The sequence below is a fragment of the Homo sapiens genome, chromosome 2, assembly GCF_000001405.40.
Source record: "Homo sapiens chromosome 2, GRCh38.p14 Primary Assembly".
NCBI classification, from domain to species: Eukaryota; Metazoa; Chordata; class Mammalia; order Primates; family Hominidae; genus Homo; species Homo sapiens.
In genome coordinates this window covers 73,666,359-73,688,894 of record NC_000002.12, presented here as the reverse complement: position 1 = coordinate 73,688,894, position 22,536 = coordinate 73,666,359, and the positions used below count along the sequence as shown (strand labels likewise).

Here is a 22,536-nt window from a genome sequence, read left to right as displayed (position 1 = left end):
AAAAAAAGACAATTCACAAATCAGGCAGTCCCTAGAATCACAGCAGATTCAGAGCAACACCAGAGATGCTATGTGGTCGGAAAAAACCTTATGAATAGAAAAAGTAAAGTGACACGCAGAAAGCCGAAGTGAGGTACAGAAATAGCCAAATTGGTTACAGCATGGTGTTTGCCTTATTTGAACATGGTTTGAACAATAGGCTGCCTGTGAGTCACTGAAGCATGGCTGCTGCGATTGGCTGACGCTCAGCTATTGCTACAGAAGCATCCTTCTAAGTTAGGTTTTCAGTTGGCCTACCTACAAAGTTAGGTTATGGTTCATCCTTAAGGACTCAAGTATGGGAGTGAGGAGGCTTTCTCAGGCCAGATTTTAGTTTGATTTAATAGTTCCAAATTTAAGTCAGTCCTTTGCTCCAATATCTGATCATAGGCTATTAGAAGCAGCCAGGCCATTTCTTGAATGCTTTGCTGCTTAGACATTTCTTCTACCAGATACCCTAAGTCATTACTCTTAAGTTCAGCCTTCCACAAAGCCCTAGGACATAGATACAATGCAGCCAAGTTCTTTGCTAGGGCTTAACAAGGGTGACCTTTGCTCCAGTTCCCCATAACTTCCTCATTTCCATCTGAGACCTCATCAGGCTGGCCTTTACTGTACATATTTCTGTCCACATTTTGGTTACAACGACATTACAAATCTCTAAGAAGGTCCAAACCTTTTCTCATCTTTCTGTCTTCTGGGCCCTCCAGACTCTTCCAACCGCTGCCTCATACCCAGTTCCAAAGCCACTTCCACATTTTCAGATATCTTTATAGCAACGCCCTACTCCTCGGTACCGACTTTCTGTGATAGTCTATTTTGCGTTGCTATAAAGAAATATCTGAGACTAGGTAATTTATAATGAAAAGATGTTTATTTGACTCACAGTTTTTCAGGCTGTACAAGAATCACAGGGCTGGCATATGCCTCTGGTGAGGGCCTCAGGAAGCTTTTACTCATGGGGAAGGGTGAAGGGGGAGCAGTTGTGTCACATGGCAAGAGAGGGAACCAGAGAGATGCCAGGCTTTTTTAAACAACCAGCTCTCACACGAACTAATAGAGTAACAACTCAGTCATGAGGAGGGCACCAAACCATTCGGGAGGGATCCACTTCTTATGACCTAAACACCTCCTACTAGGTCCAACCTCCAACACTGGGGGTCACATTTCAACATGAGATTTGAAGAAGACAAATATCCAGACTATATCCACCTTCTAGAGGGGACAGGGCTTCTGCTCCTGGAAATTCAGACCCAGGAATAGGACTTGGCATTCTTCTGCTCCATCTTATGCCCACTCCCCAGCCACACAGAGCTACTTCTACTTCTTCAATACCTGAAGCTCTCTTTCTGCTTGAGGCCTTTGGGCATGTTGTTCCTTTTGCCTGGAACATTCTTATCCCCACCCCATCCCCTTGTTAGTTCAGTGACTCCCTAGCTGCTGAGCCAGGAGGAAGCAGTTCATCCTGTTTTTTTTTCTCCCCCCCCGGCAGTTATTGCAATTTAGTCCTTTGCTACTCAAAGTGTGATCCCCAGACCAGTGCAGCAGCCTTGCCTAGAAGTGTGTTAAAAATAAGTGTGGGGTCTACGGCCATACCACCCTGAACACACCCAATCTTGTCTGATCTCGAAAGTTAAGTGTGGGTACGACGTTTATTATGCCCACAAGATTAACATTAGCAAAACAGTATGAATCTTGCACAGCTTCTTCCTAAATGCAACACAGTGGCCGCCCTCCCATGAGGCAGAGAAATTCAGGTGTGTCCTCTGCTGGTCGACGCTCCCATTGCCTGGGCATCGATGGGCAGTGCTGATTTGCTGAAGACCAGGGAGAGAGGAGGGGCCAGCTGCCCTGACTGGTGCTCATCTTCCTTGGACCAAGTCTACACTCACTGCTAAGGGAGTTACAAGCTCTTCTTTCCTGAAGGACTCAGATAGGAGGCCCAAAGCTGTAGGAGGGAATGCGTCTGTGTTTGTGAATTGGGGGAGGGTATTATTGGGGCAAGATAGTGGGCTCGAGGTAACAGGAAGTTAAACTGGAACTTCGCACTGAGGCACTGGATATAATAGGTAAGAAATTCTGCTGTGAGATCTGACACCAAAATGAAGAAATGCCAAAGGAGGCTGTCAAGAACGGTTTGGGGTTGCCAGGGTTTGAGGGGAAGGGGATGTGAGGAGTGACGGTTCCATGACGACAGGTTTCCTTCCTGGGTAATGAAAATGTTTTGGGGCTTGATATGGGTGTTGCTTGCAAAACACTGTGAATGTACCAAATGGCAGGGAACTGTACACTTGAAAATGGCTAACTGTAGGTTATGTAAATTTTGTCTCCAAGCATTGGGAAAAAAGAAGAGTTCATGTGGCTCTAAAACTCACAAGGAGTACAAGGGTCAGAGAACTAAGACACTGAGGGATTTTTTTTATGGGGAGAGTTGCTGCTGTGCTGAATCTGCCCTCATCTAGCCTCAGCCAAGGGGCCGATGGGCGGTGCCACTGTGACCTCCAGACAGCTTCTTGGCCAAGGTGACTCCAAGTCCTCCTCTGCCAGGGAGCAACAGGACTGATGTTGACACTTGCCAGAGGAATCTGAAAGTCAAAGTCCACACCTATTCAACCTGGAACTCTGGCAGAGGTAGAATGTTGCTGGCTGTGTGTGTGTGTGCGTGTGTGTGTGTGTGTGTGTGTGTGAGAGAGAGACAGAGAGAGAGACAAAGAGAGAGACAGAGAGAGAGACACAGAGAAACAGAGAGACAGAGACAGAGAGAGAAGGCGGGGGGAGACAGAGAGAGGAGATGGTGGGGAGAGAGAGATAGAGAGAGAGAGAGGAAACAGAGAGTGGGGAAGAGGAGGGTAGAAAGAGAGTGAAAGGAAAAGAAAGGAATGACAGAGAGGGAGAGGGAGTGATTGCTTTGCCTGGACTGGGGCCATGGGCAGTGGCAGTGGATGAGGCCAGGCCTTGGGAATGTAAGGGCTTCCAGGGAATGGCAAGTGCAGATTTGTGATTTGTATGGGAAACTCTTTGGGCAAGCATAGGGTAGGAGACTGATTGTTTTCCAGAAAGTAGGAAGGAGGGAGGGCATGATCTAAGATAATTTTAGAGGTCAGTGACTTGGACCAATCAGTGAGAAAATCTAGACTGTTAATTCCAAACTTCCTTTCACCTTTCTTCGGCTAATAAGTAATTTGTTCATTTTGAAGGATGGTATTTTATTCTGAACCTGGTAAAATTGTAATGACATTCAGATTTCCTTTTACATATTGCTTACTGGTTAAATTAGAATTTCTTTTTTTGCTTCATTTTTGTTTTACATGTGTGCACATGTGAAGATGTGCGTACATGCAGGGAAAGTCAGCCAGCCTGAGACAATCTCCCCTTCCTTTTTTTCCCCCTAGTTTTTATTATGGCAAAATACATAAAACATACAACTAACCATTTTAACGTGTACAGTTCAGTGGTACTAATTATGTTCACAATGGTGTGTAACTGTCACCACAATCTATTTCCAGAAGTTTTTCATCATTTCAAACAGAAACTCTGTACCCACTAGGCAAGAACTCCTTGTCTTCTCCTCCAGCCCCCGGAAAGCCCTGTTCTACATTCTGTCTCTACGAACTTGCCTATTCTGACAATTTCATATAAGTGAAACTATACAATATTTGTCCTACTGTGTCTGGTTTTCCTTTCCCAGAAAATCCCCCCACCCGACTCAAGGCACAGATTAGAAAACCTTCCCAGGCCTTGAGTCTCCCCCTGCAGGCGGTGTCCTTACATGGTCTGGGTGCTGCTTCCCGACGTCACCGGGATCCCTGGGTGTTTCTCTCCTTTCCCTGGAAGCCTTTCTTTCACCCACAAGGCACCGGGAAGCCTTTGTGCTACTGTTCCTCCTGCGTGTGTCCTTGATAAAGTACAGAATGGACCAATAAATTTAAACTTATCATAAACAGTGGGCAATTTTTAGCATGGGACAGAATCAAACATTAAAAATCATTTATCTGAAATTCAAATTTAATTGGGCATCCTGTATTTGTGTTTGCCTCATCTGGCAGCCCTACTATGGACACTTCTCTAAATTCCAGACTCAAGTCCAGTCCACAGGTTGTCCACCCTTCTCAGAAGTCCAGGGATAAGGGATATGGACCAATCTCTAAAGAAAAACCTCCATTTCAGGAGGAGTTATGCTACAGGTGCCTGTGACTCCAGGTCTAGATGCTGGCTTTCACCACTTGACAGGGATTCCCTGCAGTGGGAGAGGTTCAGTGGCCTGGGGCTGACTCACGTCTGACAAACCCAGAGTGTGGGTTTCAGGGCCTAGCTAGGCTGTGGCCATGAGGTGATCCTGCACTCTTAAGAGTTCACCCCAGCATAGGATGCATAAGTGTTTCCTGAGGACAAGGTTTGGGACATGCAAGAGGCTGGCACTGGGCCAAGAAGACTCTGAGTCTCAGTGGAGTGACTGCTAGAAACCAGGTTTGGGGAGGAGGAGGAGGAGGAGGAGGACCAGAAGCTGGAGGAAAACCTATTGCTTGCATTGCTGGAGTTACGATCCAATATTCCAGAGGGAGGCCTCAGAAGAAGCCATGAAAACACCCAAGAAAGTCAGCTTGAGACAATGAACTGCCAGGGTGAGAGGGCAGGATGCCAAGCTATGGTCCCCATCCCCACCACATAGACACACACACACAGATGGGTCAGACACCTCCCTGTGCTGCTGAGGAGGAGAGCCCTGTCAGGCAGGGACAGAGGGGACTATGCTCCCCTAGATGGTGCAGAGAGGTCTGGCAGGGGAAGAGAGAAGATTTTAAGTGGAACTCAAATTGGGAGTTTCGATTATTACACTTTTACTTATTGAGTGGAGACTGGGCTTTCAGTGAAAAGTCAGCACGGTAGAACATGTAATCCCCTGACAGTGATCCGAACAGTCGAGGCATTACCTGAGTTCTCATCTCCAGTATAAGGGGAAGAACTCCCCAATTGAGCAGGCTTACAAAAGGCAGTGAGAGACAAGTGCAGTTGGGTCCTGATATTCACAGCAGCATTGTTCACAAGACCTACACATTATATGCAGTTATGAATCTGTTTACCAAACTGCTTACTGTAAGATTAGAAAATATTTGATATAATAAAATGTCTCACATAAATTATGGTGCATAATAAAATGAATACCCCTGAACCCAGCACCCAAATGAACTAGAAAGGTCACTATATTTGACAATACTTTCAAAGCTAAGTGTCTCTTCTCCAATCCCAGCTCCCTAAGGATGTAACCACTATTTTGAGTTAAAAAAATCCATCTGTCTGTCTATCTATCATCTGTCCATCTATCTGTTTGATCCTAAAATGACATGGGTCCCTAGGTGTCCCTGCACATGTTTACCTTGGCTTGCTTTTAAACCTTATGATAAAAGTATCATACAATATATTCTTCTGAATTTTTTTTCCTACTCAACATCGTCTCAAAGATTCACTAAGTTTGATGTTCCTTAATTTTCTCTTCTGTCTAGAATTCTTTTGCGTGACATACCACTTGCCATTTACTCATTCTCTTGTCAAAAGACACTTGAGTTGTTTCTAGTTCTTTGCTAGGGTGAAAGGACATATTTGGTGAAGATGTCCTTGTGAACCTTCCTGGGCTGATTATTGGTGAGCACTTTTCAGAATGCTGAATTATAGAGTGAATGCAAGCTTCCTCAAGCAGTGTGTGAATTCCAGTTGATCAACATCCCTGTCAACATTTAGAGTGGCACAAAGACAAAACTTTGTGCCAATCCAGTGAATGTAAAAAGGTATTTTATTCTATCCATAACATGCATTACCCTAATTAATAATGAACTCAATCTACATTTTATGTTTATGGGCTATTTGTGTTTTTCTATAAAGTTGCCTGCTCATGAGTTTAGCCCATGTGTATTAGTCCATTTTCATACCACTGTGAAGAAATATCCAAGACTGGGTAACTTATAATGAAAAAGGCATATCTTACATGATGGTAGGCAAGAAAGCTTGTGCAAGGGAACTGCCTTTTATAAAACCCTCAGCTCTCATGAGACTTATTCACTATCACAAGAAAATGGGAAAAATCTGCCCCCATGATTCAATTACCTCCCACCAGGTCCCTCCCACAACACATGAGGATTATGGGAGCTACAATTCAAGATGACATTTGGATGCGGACCAATCACAGCAGAACGTGAAGGAGGAGCAAAGGCACATCTTATGTGGTGGTAGGCAAGAGAGGGTGTGCAGGGGCACTGCTCTTTATAAAACCATCAGCTCTCATGAGACTTATTCACTAACACAAGAACATGGGAAAAATCTGCCCCCATGATTCAATTACCTCCCACTGGGTCCCTCCCACAACATGTGGAAATTATGGAAGCTACAATTCAAGATGAGATTTGGGTGGGGACACAGCCAAACCATATCACCATATTTCTATGAATTGTCTATTTGTTTTAAAGAGACTTAAATATAAATTGTGTTTTTAAAAAACCGACTCATAGAAGTTCTTTATATATTCTGGATACAAATTCTTTGCTGGTCAGATGTGCTGCAATTATCTTCTCCCATTTTGTGCCTTGTCTTTTCACTGTCTTTATGGTGCCTTTTGATAAACAAAAAATTTATCAAGATGAATTTATCAATCTTTTTCTTTATGGTTAGCACTTTGTGCCTTAAGACATTTTTCTGTTCTTACTCTCTTATATTTTCCTCTAAAAATTGTAATGGTTTTGCCTTTCATGTTTAAGTCTTTTTTCTTTTTGGTTTTTATTTCTATTAAAATTATGTATGTAACTATTATAAACAGCCAGGGTTCAATGGCTCTGTCATGTGAAACAGCAGCCCCTACATTCCCCAGCACTTCTTTCACAGGCTGTGTGACTCCTGCTCCATTGTCCAGGTCTAGCCTGCCTGCTGTCAGCTGCTGAGGAGGGTGAAGACAAGTCTCCTCCATGCATATACGCACTCCTCCCCTGCTCAGCTTCCCAGTGTGGTTAGATGGCCCTTTGGGCTACTTCACTATTCTGTGTTATTTTAAGCTAAGCTATACAGTAAGCCATGATGACTTATCCTTTCCTGAAGGCTTTTGATTTGTATCTTTTCCCTTAGAACTGATACTTTTCTTTTTGCCGTTGTTCAGTTTTCTGTGTATTTATCACTTATTCAATGCCAAATTCTATCAGATGTCCAAATGTCTCCTCTTAATATTTAGATGACGTGATTTAACGATTAGATCTCCCTGGTCTTTTCCAGCACCTCTGATCTGTCATTTGGATTGTTTATTTTCTGTGTGCCATTCAACAAACTCCACTTTAAAAAAAAAAAAAAAAAAAAGAAGATAGGGGTCTCACTATGTTGAACAGGTTGATCTTGAACTCCAGGCCTCAAACGACTCTCCCACCTCAGCCTCCCAAAGTGCTGGGATTACAGGCATGAGCCACCACATCTGGCCCCCATTCGACAAATTCTTATTGGGCCAACCACGTGCTACATGTTGTGTTAGACTCCAGAGAAACAAGGAGAACAAGATGGTTGTCATTCTTGCCTATGTGGAGCTTACTATCAAATTCAGGGGAAAAAAAACCCCAACAAATTCTGGAGCAATGTTTGCTATTCCTAACTGTTTGACTGGCTCTGAAGCTGATGCCTGCCTGTCATAAGATGGCACCAGTGTGGGGGACTCCTGAGTAAGAGAGGGGTCTTCCCCAGTTTCCTGTGTGGCCAAGGCTCTCTGCCTAAGTTAGGGATGAATACAGAGAAGTCTCTGAAGCACCTTCCACCTTTTCTCAGTTCACCTCTGTCTCATGAAATGAAGACTGTGATAGCCATTTTGTTAAGTCTAGCCCTACCTGTCTCATAGTTCCTTGAGGTTCCTGGACTTAGTGGAGCAATGGTGAGGCCAGACGAACTGTGTGATGAGACACCATCAGGGATCAAAGGAATATGTGAATTTGGCCATGACTTTTTGGGGACAGGCTGGAACATTGAACCCCAAGCCCCATGCAGAAGTCTAGCAAGTTGGGCTGACCTCTCAAGAGGGCTCTATTTTCTCCAGAGTGGAGCCTTGGGTCTCATCTCTGCAACAATCAGACTATCTAAAGTAAAGCCACCAGCATTGGAGGAAACAAATCCAGGATAGAGTAAGACAAGACACACACACCCATAGGCAGAGATTTTACTCCAGTGTCTATGGAGGAGATGGCTTGGGCTACTGAGCATTTTTTGGCCCATCATAGCTCCCTGAAAGGCTGGAGAGGAGCACATAGGGCTACGGCTGCTCAGGCAAAGAAAATTAATAGTCCACATCTATGTTCTCTGTGACTATGATCCCCTTAAAATGTAGCCTAGTCAGGTTTGGAAAATAATGCCCCCATTGCCACCACCCCAGCCTTGGTGGTGGTGGAGTTTCCTTAGATCAGGACTCTCATCTTGGGCAGCTGCAAGAGCCAAGGGCTATGGAGATGAGCCATGAGTGCCCCCTAGAGGCCAATGATGTTAGCTTTAATTTTAATATCATTCCCTTTTCCCCATGCCCACTCCCCACCATCCCCTTTCATGAGTATTTCGTGAGAAACTGGGAAAGGGCTGTAAGCAAGGCTTCAAAACCAGTAAAAATAAGTCTAGCATCAGAGGTAAAATCACCCAGCTCCCAGACTCGTAAAGACATAGACTGTGTCAACAGTTCAGCTTGGCCTCACTTCCTAAGGACTGGCTATATAGACAAGACAGGGCGGGCCCCCAGGGAGTGAAGGAATTTAATGAATTTGAGCAATTAGCCCGTTTTACAGCCTTCTGCCTTGCAGACGGTTTTGTCTCAAACCCTGTGTGAAATGTGGTCACCTAGTCAGTTGGAACCTGCTCCTGACAGACCCCAGCAACTTATAGATGAACTCACTTACAGTGAACTTTCCTCATTACAATGCTAAATCCTGCACCCTGGGAGAGCTATAGTTTCATTACCATAGCATGCGTCCTATGTGGTGGCACGATGACTCCCTCCATCTGTGTCACTGGGACCCCTCCTCTTCATGTGATGATGCACCTTCTCCCCTCTCGATCACTCTATAAAGCCTTCCTGTCATTTTCTCTTAGGAGACACTGCTTTGACGAATATTCCCAGAGCTCTTCCTACTTGTGACAAGTAATAAAACTCCTATTGATCAAAGTCTGTGTTCTCAGCGACTTTTGTTACTCACCAGGCAAACAAACCCCGCTTTTTTTTTGGAGGCAGTGGGGTGGGAGGGCCTGGGAAACAAATCTGGTTGATCCAGATGGGACTATGGACTGAGCCCTGACTCGACCTCCCTTATAGGCTGCTTACAGGCGAAGCAGCAGTCTGAGGAAGCATGAGTGGGTTAAGTTGCCAAGAGGGAGATTGGTGAAGGGCCTCAGGCATGCCAACCCCATCCCCCCAGCCCACCAGGAAAGCAGAAGTGGCTGCTTGGACCTTTCATTTGGTGCAATTTTGAGGCAGTAAGTGGTGGTGGTTCTGTGAACTGACTAAAAGAGTGGTTTTGGTTTTGATTATTAGGACTCTGGGTTGTCAGGTTTAGGACCTAGCTCAAGGGATCCAGGACTGTTGGGAATGGGCAGGACTCCCCTTCAGGTCTAGGAGTTGAGAGATGTCTCCATCCATTTTAACAGGGGAAGCCCTAATATAAAGACGAGGACTCTCATCTTTAAGACTTTGTCCCTGTCTGGTATATCTGTAGGCTGAATGCTTGTCACTTTTGCCAATACTTGTGTTTCTTTGTGGCCTGAATGCATGTGAAGTCTGGATTCCCTTCTCCTTAGTCTGTGGTAATCCCTAAAATATTGGGCTTCCATATTCCAGCAGTCACAGAAGAACTGTTATTGATTTGAAGAGGCCTAATTTAGAATGGGGCAGTTTGGGTGGGAATTCCTGGAACCAAAATACAGTGATGTAGACTTTACATGAGCAGAGTGTGCACCCTCTCCAGAAAGAACACCTTGCTTACTTGATTGATTTACATACCTCCCACCACTCAAGCTGGATCCGGAACTACTGTGGAATCTCCATGAGATTTCCAGGGAAGCTACCCAGACTGAACATGATCCAGGGAGAGGCAACCCCTATTGTCCTCTCCTAGCTTCCCAGCACCTCCACTCCATAGTGGCCTGCGTGTAGCAGCAAGCTGAAAGGACCAGAAATATCCTACAGGCTAAGAGTTACAGGATTTGTGTCATCACTAATCCCCAGTGGAAGCTTCTTGGAGGGTGGAATCAGCCTTCTGGGCAAAGACCCTAGAATATGGGGAACCAGGTCTCAATACTGGAGGAGAGCCCGTTACAGTGCCTCCTCCAGCACTGGAAACTATTTGGATACCCATATCCATGACCAAAAAGCAAATGATATATTACTGTAATACCATATGGCCCCAGTGTTCCCTACGGAATCAAGAGAGATGGTCTGAACATGAGTTACTTACATACATTAATACTACAATTCTCCAACTGGGACTTATTTTGTAAGAAACAAGGTAAATGGGATAAAATACCTTATGTATAATGTCTTATGGCCCTCTATCAACACCCAGCCCTACAGAAGAAATGCAGGATATGTAATCAGCCAAAGGATCAAAGGGAACAATGTTGCTAATTCTAGAAGCCCCTGGAGAGGAAGAATCAGTCACGTGGGGACTTGTAGGGAAGGGAATGAGGAGGAGCCTCTCTACTTCTCCTTCAAGAGAAGTGAGGTCCTCTAGTTCTACTCAAAAACTAGAACCTTTGCCAATACAGGGAAATAATCCCCTTACTTCCTCGGGAATTAAACTCTCAGCACCTCCAGGGGAAAGCAAGGGTCTTCCTCCATACTTGCCAGGCCCTCTGAACTATGTGGAGCTGGCTGTGGCTCCTGCTACGGCCCCAAAATAAACAACAAAAAATCAATATAAGACCAATATACGATAGAGAAAAATCAATAAAACCCAAAGTGGGTTATTTGACAATACTAGTGAAATTTATATACCCCTTGGAAAGAGTGATCAGGTAAAAATGACAGGAGGCAAAAATAATATCAGGAATAAAAACGGAACATCACTACAGATCCTAGAACGTCCAGACATTAAAAAGATAACAAAGGGCCAGGTGCGGGGGCTCATGCCTGTAAACCCAGCACTTTGGGAGGCCGAAGAGGGCTGATCACGAGGTCAGGAGATCGAGAACATCCTGACTAACACAGTGAAACCCTGTCTCCACTAAACATACAAAAAATTAGTCAGACGTGGTGGCGGATGTCTGTAGTCCCACCTACTCGGGAGGCTGAGGCAGGAGGATGGTGTGAACCTGGGAGGTGGAGCTTTCAGTGATCCGAGGTCGTGCCACTGCACTCCAGCCTGAGGGCGACAGAGCGAGACTCCGTCTCAAAAAAAAAAAAAAAAAAAGATAACAAAAGGATATTATAACATTGGATCATCAATTTGTAAATTTCTAGGAAATGAACAAATTACGTAAAAAACACAACTTACTAAACCTTGGCATAAAAGAAAAACTGAAATCTGAATAGTTATTGAAAAAAATGAATCCCACAAAAGAAAATCCAGGCCCAGATGGGTTTCACTGGTGAATTCTCCTAATTATTTAAGCAATAAATTACATTACATTCTTCTAGAGAATAAGAAAGAAAAACTTCATTCCAACTCATTTTATGAGGCGTGAGCCACTGTGCCTGGCTGACAAGTGGTAGTTTCTTAAAAATTAGTTGCAAGGTGGAATCTGAAAGCATGTCAGCAAACTTTTCCTATTCTGTTACATAAAAATCCATCAGTCTATCTTGTACTATTTGAATCTTCTATCTATTCCCTGATTTTGTAACAAAAAGCAACAATCATTTGGAAAATCCTGGTCCAGGGAGTTGTGCAGATCTTCCAAATGTTGACAAATGTATTTAGATAACATGAAAAACGTCACATTTGTTAATGTCACTGCTATCTCGTCAGAAAGGTCTAAGTACTAAGATGTCATCAAGCCCATGGTGGTGAATACAAGTTTTCTAGAATTCTATTGTTGGCTTGAAAACTCACATTTTCTTTGGCAACAGATACTGTCAGACATTTTCCTGAAGTCAGAGAGTCACTTCTTCATTTTCAAGAAAATGTCTGCTAAACACAAGTCAGAATAATTGGTTTTCTGTCAGTTACTCTTTCAATTAAAAGTCATGTTCCATGACAAAGGCAGCTGGTTCAGCTCACGACACAAACCATGGCATAAGTGCTTTTCCTTGAAACAGTCATCATCTTTCACGGTGCAAAGGAAGTGCTTCCCGTTTACCTCCATTTACACTGCTTCCTTGTTCTTCCATCACACTCCTGGCGGGAGGCTGTGCAGGATACAATGCCTATTAGACTAGTACGGTTTGGTGCCACCGTCTTGAATAGTGGTAAGACACCAATGGTTTTACTCCTCTCCCAGTACTCTTGCATCATCAGTGCAAATAGCCAACACAGCAAAAAAGGCACAGAACATCCTGGTGTCATTCTGAAATTAGTTTTGACCTTGCAAATTGCCTGAAAGGGTCTCAGCGACTTCCAGGACTCCACAGACCACTCTCTGAGAACCACTGGACTAAAGCATCCAAAGCATCCCTTTGGATTGCCTATAAAGACTGACTAGAAAGAGTAAAAACAAGATTTCAAGAGGAATGCTTAAAGTCCGTAAGATAAACTGTTTTAAAGTACCTTTACTTCAGAAGCATTATGCCAACTAAGAAACTATTCTCATTAAAGCAAGTCTCTAATGAACACCTAAAAAAGTCAACCTTAACTTATTCTCTGGCATTCCCATGATCAATATATCAATATCTGAAATGAATTAATTTTTTAAAATATTATTTATTATTTTTTAGATACAGAGTCTCAGTCTGTTACCCAGGCCAGAGCGTAATGGTGTGATCATAGCTCACTGCAGTCTCAAATTCCTGGGCTTAAGAGATTCTCTCACCTAAGACTCCTGAGTAGGTAGGATTACAGAAATGTACCACCACATCCAACACTCAAATGAATTAATTTATGAGTAACTAATGTTCGTTCCTCATGACACAACATTCAAAAAGTCAAAAAATCTACTACATCCTACATCAGTTCTCCTTTCCAAAGGCAATCAGTATTATCAGGTTTTTCTGTCTTCCAGAAATATTCTATGCATATAAAAGTATACACGTCTACATAGGCACAAATACTTACTTTTAAAGACCACAAATGGAAACAGTGTTGACATACTTCGAAAATTTAATTTTTTAAAAAAGTTTAACTTAATATGTTCTGGAGAACACTGTTCTTTCTCACCCTATGGGATCAATTCCAAGAAATGGGATTGCTAAGATAAAAGGTATAATAACCCAAATACATATTTAATTTTATTTTAAAATAATCTTTTTTTTTTGAGATGGAGTCTCGCTCTGTCACCCAGACTGGAGTGTAGTAGTGCCATCTAAGCTCACTGCAACCTCTGCCTCCCAGGTTCAAAGGATCCTCCCGGCTCAGCTTTCTGAGTGGTTGGGATTACAGGCGTGCACCACCACGCCCGGCTACTTTTTGTATTTTTAGTAGAGACGGGGTTTCACCATGTTGGCCAGGCTGGTCTCGAACTCCTGACCTCAAGTGATTTATCCACCTTGACCTCCCAAAGTGCTGGGATTACAGGCGTGAGCCACCGCACCTGGCCTAAAATATTCTTTATTTACATTTAGGTTAATAAAGAGGAGCCTAAGATATGCAAATTAATGAGAAGTTTTTCATCTTTTGCATATGAGTCATTCATACCATGATGTGCTACTTTTTTTTTCAGTGCCATAAGTGAGAAATGACTCTCACAACTTTCTCATAATGTTTAAATTTGAGCATAATGCCTTTATTCTGGGTGCAAGCCAGAGCTCCTGACCACTTGGTGGCCTGGTTAACACTTGTACACAAACTCTTGTTTTCTTGGTCTTACCGTTTGGACCTCTGAATCATTTCCTTCTTGCTGATAGGCTTGTTCTTCTGGACAGCCAGGAAGACTAAGGAAGAGAAGAAAGGGTTTTCAGTGGACAGTGACTTAACCCAGAGGGTGTGGTGCAAGAGCTGGGAGAGGGAGCTGCTAGGACTTGGTGCCCCTACCCTGAGCTGGCAAGACTGAGTGGGGAGCAATGACCAAGGCAAGCCAGGGTTAGACTAGGGTAACAGGACAGCAGCCTAAGGCCCTAAGGACCTAACACTCTGTAGCAAAGACTAGGCTTTGAATTAAAAAACTGGCCAGTTTCCAGGTAAGGCTTGATGAAAGAATTAGATAGTACTTTGTAGTTTTCACAGCTTTCATTATTTTATCAAGATCTGCTTACCATAATTGTTAAGAATGCAGACTCCAGAGCAGCACACCTGAGTATGTCACCTTGGGAGAGGTAGTTAATCTCCCTTTGATTCAGTTTTCTCACTATAAAGTAGATATATTAATAGTACCTACTGAGAGTGCTGTAAGCGCTAATGTGAACAGTGCCTGGGCAAGATGTAAGGACTATGTGTTTATTATTATCATTATTACCATCCTAAGAGGTAGGCAAGCCTGGAATCAGCCCCATCTTTTCAGGAAAAATCAATATACTTTTGGAACTAACTTGCTCACAGACAGAGCTGGTTTAAGATGCAGTGACAGGGCTAGAGTAACTGGGCTTACTTGGATCATGAATGTGCTGACGGCTAAGGTGGGGAGGTTCTGTTAGCTAAGAAGGTTTGAGTCTTGGCAAGCAAAAGGTTGCTGTCTGCCCAGGTAACTGGCCTGGGCTGGCCTTTAGCAGGGCTCTGCAGCACAGCAGCAGACCTTGCCTTCTCTATTCCACTCACAGGAAAGTGAACGGGCAGGGCGTACCTCTCTTGGGTAGTGGGCGCATGCGATTCTGGTGGCCCTGCCGTTCCCTGTCAATGTCGAATAGCGCATCCCGCTCGCTCTTTAACATGCTCTGCAGCTTTCTCTCCTGGACTATTAACTTCAGACGCTTTATCCGCTCCCCAATGTGGGAGATGAAGTCAGGTCTGTGAAACTGAAGCGATTCCTTAAAAAAAAAAAAAAAAAAGAGAGAGAGAGAGAAAATACCCAGCCTCAGATTAATGATGCAATCTACTCTCCATATGGCTGGAAACACACCACGTACCCAAGAGGTCTGGGGAAGCCTGATTCAAATGCCGAGAAAATACCTAGAGTTGAAGAAACCTCTGACACCTCTCTATGGCGGAGAGCTGCAGCTTGGAACCCACAGGGATCAAAGACATGCCTTCAGCATAGGCCAGGAACTAAGACTATGGCGATTACAACTCTCTGAAACATCAACGCAATACAGCTCTGCCCATGCTGCTATTTTAAAGATCTATTCAAACAAATACATCATTAATAACTTTTCCTTTATCCCCAGAGGGACACATCAGAAGAGACTTGGTTTCCTTTAAATCCGACATGGAGCAGAAACAGGAGCTGCGGACATGGAGGAACATGCATGAGGCTGCACAAGCATCAGGCCTCTGGGCCCTCCACACACAGGGACCCACAAACCCAATGAGCAGAGCCACAAATCCTCCCTCCTGTGCCCTTGTCTCCAGATCCTGACAGTGATGCACCATCTATGGCTAAGAGTAAGGCAGCCTTTGACAGATGATGAGAAACTCAGTCCTCACGTGTGAAAACAGGTGAACTGCGGAGGTGCTGGAAAAGAGCGTCTCAGGCCTACACCTCAGCTCGCCAAGTCACAGAGCCAGCTTCTCTGCGCCTTACCCTTCTTCTCCCTACATGTAGGGCTAAAGTTAAGTAAACGTCACTGCACCTGCAGGGTTGCTCTCACAAACAGCTTCAGTGGGTTTCTGCCATCCTCTCTGCCTGGGCCTGCCAGGTAGCCCCGACTGTCCAGGTGCTGCCCCTGCCAGTTCCGCTCCCACAGTGGCTCCCTCCACGGCTTGGTCTTGGTTACTGGTTCCAACCGGGAGATGCCAGGGTCATGAGTCTTGAGCATGTTTTCCTTCTTTTTATCTAGACTCCACATTTTCCACAGGAACAAACCAGGAAACTCCTACAGGAAATAGTTTTTAGAAGTAAAACAGAATTTTCACTTTTTACAGCCCCACCTGGCTTTCATCAAGGAGATGCATATAATACAGGCTCTCAGGGGTCTCAGCTGTCAGCGGCCACAGGGTGCCCTTGAGTTTGGTTTCACTGCAGGGATGACTGTGTAACTGCCATGCTGGACTTCGAAAATCTGACAAGGTGGTGACTGGGGGTAGGTGGGGGTCACATAGAATCACTTGGAAACACAGAGTCAGCATTGCAGGGGACTTGAAATTCACTAGTTTCTCTACTACAAGATCTGGAATGAGAAACTGACCTTCATGGGAATTCTTCTTGTTCTTTTTTAACTTTCTGTCCTCAGGATAACTGGTAAAGAGCATTTTCTCTTCATGTTTTTCTTCTGACCAAGAAGTCACATCACTGTCCTCTTCCAATTTAGCCTCGCTGGAACTTGGAGTTGGCTCGAGTGTGTTTTTCGGCACCGTTCACAATCTCCAAGTTACCTGAGGGGAAGGATCACAGGTGTCTCTGGGAGTAACCTTGAGGCTGAGTTGACAGGTTTATTCAAGTGAGTATGTGAACCTTTTTAATGTTTCAAAAATACAATCCCTTTGTGTGGGATGGAGTGATGGGAAGAGAGAGGAAAAGAAGGAAGGACAGGGGAGAGTAGGAGGGAAAAAGAGGGAGAAGAAAAAAGAAAGGGTTTTATTTGTAAGTCATTTTAGGTATGAGAGGGAAAGAAGAATGAATATGGGTTCAAAGGGTAAAGAATTTCCACCTGGATCCCAAGGCAGAAAGACAATAAATACTTAGAGTCCTTTTGGTAGTCACCCAGGTATGGAAGAGGTTGACAGAAGTAAAGACAGGATTTGAGGGGAAGAAACAAATCAAGAAAGTTTATTTATTTTTATTTTATGAAACCAAAAGTATAGAAAGGCAATAGCTAAAAATCCTCCTTCCCACTTCTGGTCTCCATTTACTCTGTTCACAACCCCATATGGTTCCAGAGAATTCATTTTGCACATTTAAGCAATTCTCTTCCCTCCTTTATTTCTTTTATTTAAAAAAACTCATATTGTAGTATGCCATACACTGTTCTGTACCTTTTCTTAAAATCAGTTATATGCCTTGGAGATCTTTCCACGTTAGTAAAGAGAGAGCTTCCTCATTCTATGTAGAATTTCATTCATTATCCAGATATACAATAATTTATGTAATCATTCAGCTATTGAGGAATACCTAAATTCATTTTAATCTTCTGCTATAAAAAACAATGTTTCAGTGGTTAATTTTGTACACTATTTTGCACATATGCAAGTATATCTATAGGTTAAAATCCACATATTCATAGTATATCTATAGCAGACATTTCAAAGGTAAAAATGCTGAGTGAAAGTAATTTTGACAGGACCTGTCAAATTGTCTTTCACAGTAAACCAACTTCTACTCCCACTGGAATATACAAGGGAACACACTTCCCTACACTCTTGCCCACAAACTTGCCATCACACTTGAATTTACGCCAATCTGATAAGATGAAAATTGGCAGTTGGATATAGTTTTAACTTCATGTCCTTTACTATGATTGAGGTTGAGTATCTTATATGTTTAAGAGCCATTTCAATGTATTTCAATGAAAAAGTTCAGATTCAAGTAATTACCTGCTTGTGTGCCCTTGTTTAACATGTGTACATTCTGCTTGTTGCAAAAAGTAGAGTTCGAGCTCAGGAAACTACTGGCAGAAGAGGAAATAGAGTCAGAAGAAATCACATGGTTTGCCACCTAGAAAAATAAAAGAGATCTTGTTATTATTACCTGCAGTCAATGTCACAGTTACCCACAGGATAAGCAAGCCAACAAGTCCTCTTTCTAATCCAATTCTAACTGTTGAGATGTATTTGGAGGAAGCTTGAGATAATGTGAACATGCTGCCTTGTATCTGTGTTGGGAGAATGTAGTAGTTGGATAGGACTTAAGCTGTTTGTTGTAAGGTGGTAAGACAAAAAAAGCCTGGCTATTTTCACTGGGCCTGGAAAAACTCTGAAGAGAATGCTAGCCAAACATTAGTCTGATGCATCTTCAGAAGGAAATTCTGAAGTGACACTTGCATATAATTTTCATGTGAGATAAGGAGGCCTGGAGATAGCTAAAAAAAGTGATGAACTTCAAAACCACCGGAGGGTTCCAAGATAGCTGAATAGGAATAGCTCCAGTCTACAGCTCACAGCATGAGGGATGCAGAAGATAGGTCATTTCTGCATTTCCAACCGAGGTACGAGGTTCATCTCAATGGGGCTTGTTGGACAGTGGGTGCAGCCCATGGAGTGTGAGCCGAAGCAGGGTGGGGCATCACCTCATCCGGGAAGTGCAAGTGGTAGGGGAATTCCCTTTACTAGCCAAGGGAAGCCGTGACAGATGGTACTTGGAAAATCAGGACACTCATACCCTAACACTGTACCTTTCCAACAGTCTAAGCAAACGGCACACCAGGAGATTATACCCCACGCCTGGCTTGGAGGGTCCCATGCCCACAGAGCCTCACTCACTGCTAGCACAGTAGTCTGAGATCAAACTGCAAGGTGGCAGCGAGGCTGGGGGAGGGGTGTCCGCCAGTGCTGAGGCTTGAGTAGGTAAACAAAGCAGCCGGAAAGCATGAATTGGGTGGAGCCCACCACAGCTCAACAAGGCCTGCCTGCCTCTGTAGACTCCACCTCTAGGGCAGGGCATAGCTGAACAAAAGGCAGCAGAAACTTCTGCAGTCTTAAACATCCCTGTCTGACAGCTTTGAAGGGAGTAGTGGTTCTCCCAGCATGGAGTTTGCCATCTGAGAACGGACAGACTGCCTCTTCAAGTGGGTCCCTGACACCCGAGTACCCTAACTGGGAGACATCTCCCATTAGGGGACAACTTGACACCTCATACAGCTGGGTGCCCCTCTGAGACAAAGCTTCCAGAGGAAGGATCAGGCTGCAACATTTGCTGTACTGCAATATTTGCTGTACTGCAGCCTCCGCTGGTGATACGCAGGTGAACAGGGTCAGGAGTGGAGCTCCAGCAAACTCCAACAGACCTGCAGCTGAGGGTCCTGACTGTTAGAAGGAAAACTAACAAACAGAAAGGACCTCCGCACCAAAACCCCATCTGTACATCACCATCGTCAAAGACCAAAGGTAGATAAAACCACAAACATGGGGAGAAACCAGAGCAGAACAGCTGAAAATTCTAAAAATCAGAGCACCTCTTCCCCTCCAAAGCAACAAAGCTGCTTTCCAGCAATGGAACAAAGCTGGATGGAGAATGACTTTGACGAGTTGACAGAAGTAAGCATCAGATGATTGGTAATAACAAACTTCTCTGAGCAAAAGGAGGATGTTCGAACCCATTGCAAAGAAGCTAAAAACCTTGAAAAAAGATTAGATGAATGGCTAACTAGAATAAACAGCATAGAGAAGACCTTAAATGACCTGATGGAGCTAAAAACCATGGCACGTGAACTATGTGAGAGATGCCCAAGCTTCAGTAGCTGATTCAATCAAGTGGAAGAAAGAGAATCAGTGATTGAAGATCAAATGAATGAAATGAAGTGAGAAGTTTAGAGAAAAAAGAGTAAAAAGAAATGAACAAAGCCTCCAAGAAATATGGGACTATGTGAAAAGACCAAATCTATGTCTGATTGGTGTACCTGAAAGTGATGAGGAGAATGGAACCAAGTTGGAAAACACTCTGCAGGATATTACCCAGGAGAACTTCCCCAGCCTAGCAAGGCAGGCCAACATTCAAATTCAGGAAATACAGAGAATGCCACAAAGATACTCCTCGAGAAAAGCAACTCCAAGACACATAATTGTCAGATTCACCAAAGCTGAAATGAAGGAAAAAATCTTAAGGGCAGCCAGACAGAAAGGTCAGGTTACCCACAAAGGGAAGCCCATCAGACTAACAACTGATCTCTCAGCAGAAACTCTACAAGCCAGAAAGGAGTGGGGGCCAATATTCAACATTCTTAAAGAAAAGAATTTTCAACCTAGAATTTCATATCCAGCCAAACTAAGCTTCATAAGTGAAGGAGAAATAAAATCCTTTACAGACAAACAAATGCTGAGAGATTTTCTCACCACCAGGCCTGTCTCACAAGAGCTCCTGAAGGAAGCACTAAATATGGAAAGGAACAACCGGTACCAGCCACTGCAAACGTATGCCAAATTGTAAAGAACATCAATGCTAGGAAGAAACTCCATCAACTAGCGAGCAAAATAACCAGCTAATATCATAATGACAGGATCAAATTCACACATAACAATATTAGCCTTAAATGTAAATGGCCTAAATGCTCCAATTGAAAGACACAGACTGGCAAATTGGATAAAGAGTCAAGACCCATCAGTATGCTGTATTCAGGAGACCCATCTCATGTGCACAGACACATATAGGCTCAAAATAAAGGCATGGAGGAAGAGCTACCAAGCAAATGGAAAACAAAAAAAGGCAGGGGTTGCAATCCTAGTCTCTGATAAAACAAACTTTAAACCAACAAAGATCAAAAGAGACAAAGAAGGCCATTACATGATGGTAAAAGAATCAATTAAACAAGAAGAGCTAACTATCCTAAATACATATGCACCCAATACAGGAGCACCCAGATTCATAAAGCAAGTCCTTAGAGACCTACAAAGAGACTTAGACTTCCACACAATAATAATTGGAGAATTTAACACCCCACTGTCAACATTAGACAGATCAACGAGACAGAAAGTTAACAAGGATATCCAGGAATTGAACTCAGCTCTGCACCAAGCAGACCTAATAGACATCTATAGAACTCTCCACCCCAAATCAACAGAATATACAGTCTTCTCAGCACCACATCGCACTTATTCCAAAATTGACCACATAGGTGGAAGTAAAGCACTCCTTAGCAAATGTAAAAGAACAGAAATGATAACAAACTGTCTCTCAGACCACAGTGCAACCCAATTAGAACTCAGGATTAAGAAGCTCACTCAAAACCGCTCAACTACATGGAAACTGAACAACCTGCTTCTGAAAGACTACTGGGTACATAACGAAATGAAGGCAGAAATAAAGATGTTCTTTGAAACCAATGAGAACAAAGACACAACATACCAGAATCTCTGGGACACATTTAAAGTAGTGTGTAGAGGGAAATTTATAGCACTAAATGCCCACAAGAGAAAGCAGGAAAGATCTAAAATTGACATCCTAATGTCACAGTTAAAAAAACTAGAGAAGCAACAGCAAATACATTCAAAAGCTAGCAGAAGGCAAGAAATAACTAAGATCAGAGCAGAACTGAAGGAGATAGAGACACAAAAAACCCTTCCAAAAATCAATGAATCCAGGAGCTGGTTTTTTGAAAAGATCAGCAAAATTGATAGACCGCTAGCAAGACTAATAAAGAAGAAAAGAGAGAAGAATCAAATAGATGCAATAAAAAATGATAAAGGGCATATCACCACCGATCCCACAGAAATACAAACTACCATCGGAGAATACTATAAACACCTCTATGTAAATAAACTAGAAAATCTAGAAGAGATGGATAAATTCCTGGACACATACACCCTCCCAAGACTAAACCAGGAAGAAGTTGAATCCTTGAATAGACCAATAACAGGCTCTGAAAATGAGGCAATAATTAATAGCCTATCAACCAAAAAAAGTCCAGGACCAGACAGATTCACAGTTGAATTCTATCAGAGGTACAAAGAGGAGCTGGTACCATTCCTTCTGAAACTATTCCAATCAACAGAAAAAGAGGGAATCCTCCCTAACTCATTTTACAAGGCCAGCATCATCCTGATACCTAGGCCTGGCAGAGACACAACAAAAAAAGAGAATTTTAGACCAATATCCCTGATGAACATTGATGCAAAAATCCTCAATAAAATACTGGAAAACTGAATCCAGCAGCACATCAAAAAGCTTATCCACCATGATCACATTGGCTTCATCCCTGGGATGCAAGGCTGGTTCAACATATGCAAATCAATAAATGTAATCCATCATATACACAGAACCAAAGACAAAAACCACATGATTATCTCAATATATGCAGAAAAGGCCTTCAACAAAATTCAACAGCCCTTCATGTTAAAAACTCCCAATAAACTAGGTATTGATGGGACATATCTCAAAATAATAAGAGCTGTTTATGGCAAACACACAGCCAATATCATACTGAATGGGCAAAAACTGGAAGCATTCCCTTTGAAAACTGGCACAAGACAGAGATGCCCTCTCACCACTCCTATTCAACACAGTGTTGGAAGTTCTGGCCAGGGCAATCAGGCAGGAGAAAGAAATAAAGGGTATTCAATTAGGAAAAGAGGAAGTCAAATTGTCCCTGTTTGCAGATGACATGATTGTAAATTTAGAAAACTCCATTGCCTCAGCCCCAAATCTCCTTAAGCTGATAAGCAACTTCAGCAAAGT

At 43.2% G+C, this 22,536-nt stretch overlaps 1 pseudogene across 1 annotated transcript in view; it reads right to left on the bottom strand.

Annotated features, from left to right (window-relative positions):
• Window positions 1-3,322: 3,322 nt before the first annotated feature.
• ALMS1P1 (ALMS1 pseudogene 1) overlaps window positions 3,323-22,536 on the bottom strand; it is a 40,654-nt pseudogene continuing 21,440 nt past the window's right edge. The window contains exons 2-7 of the transcript NR_003683.2: window positions 17,745-17,815; window positions 16,400-16,586; window positions 15,845-16,087; window positions 14,899-15,082; window positions 13,990-14,053; window positions 3,323-3,934 (exon numbers count right to left, since the gene is read on the bottom strand). The product of NR_003683.2 is annotated as an ALMS1 pseudogene 1 (transcript). The remainder of the gene's footprint in view (window positions 3,935-13,989; window positions 14,054-14,898; window positions 15,083-15,844; window positions 16,088-16,399; window positions 16,587-17,744; window positions 17,816-22,536) is intronic.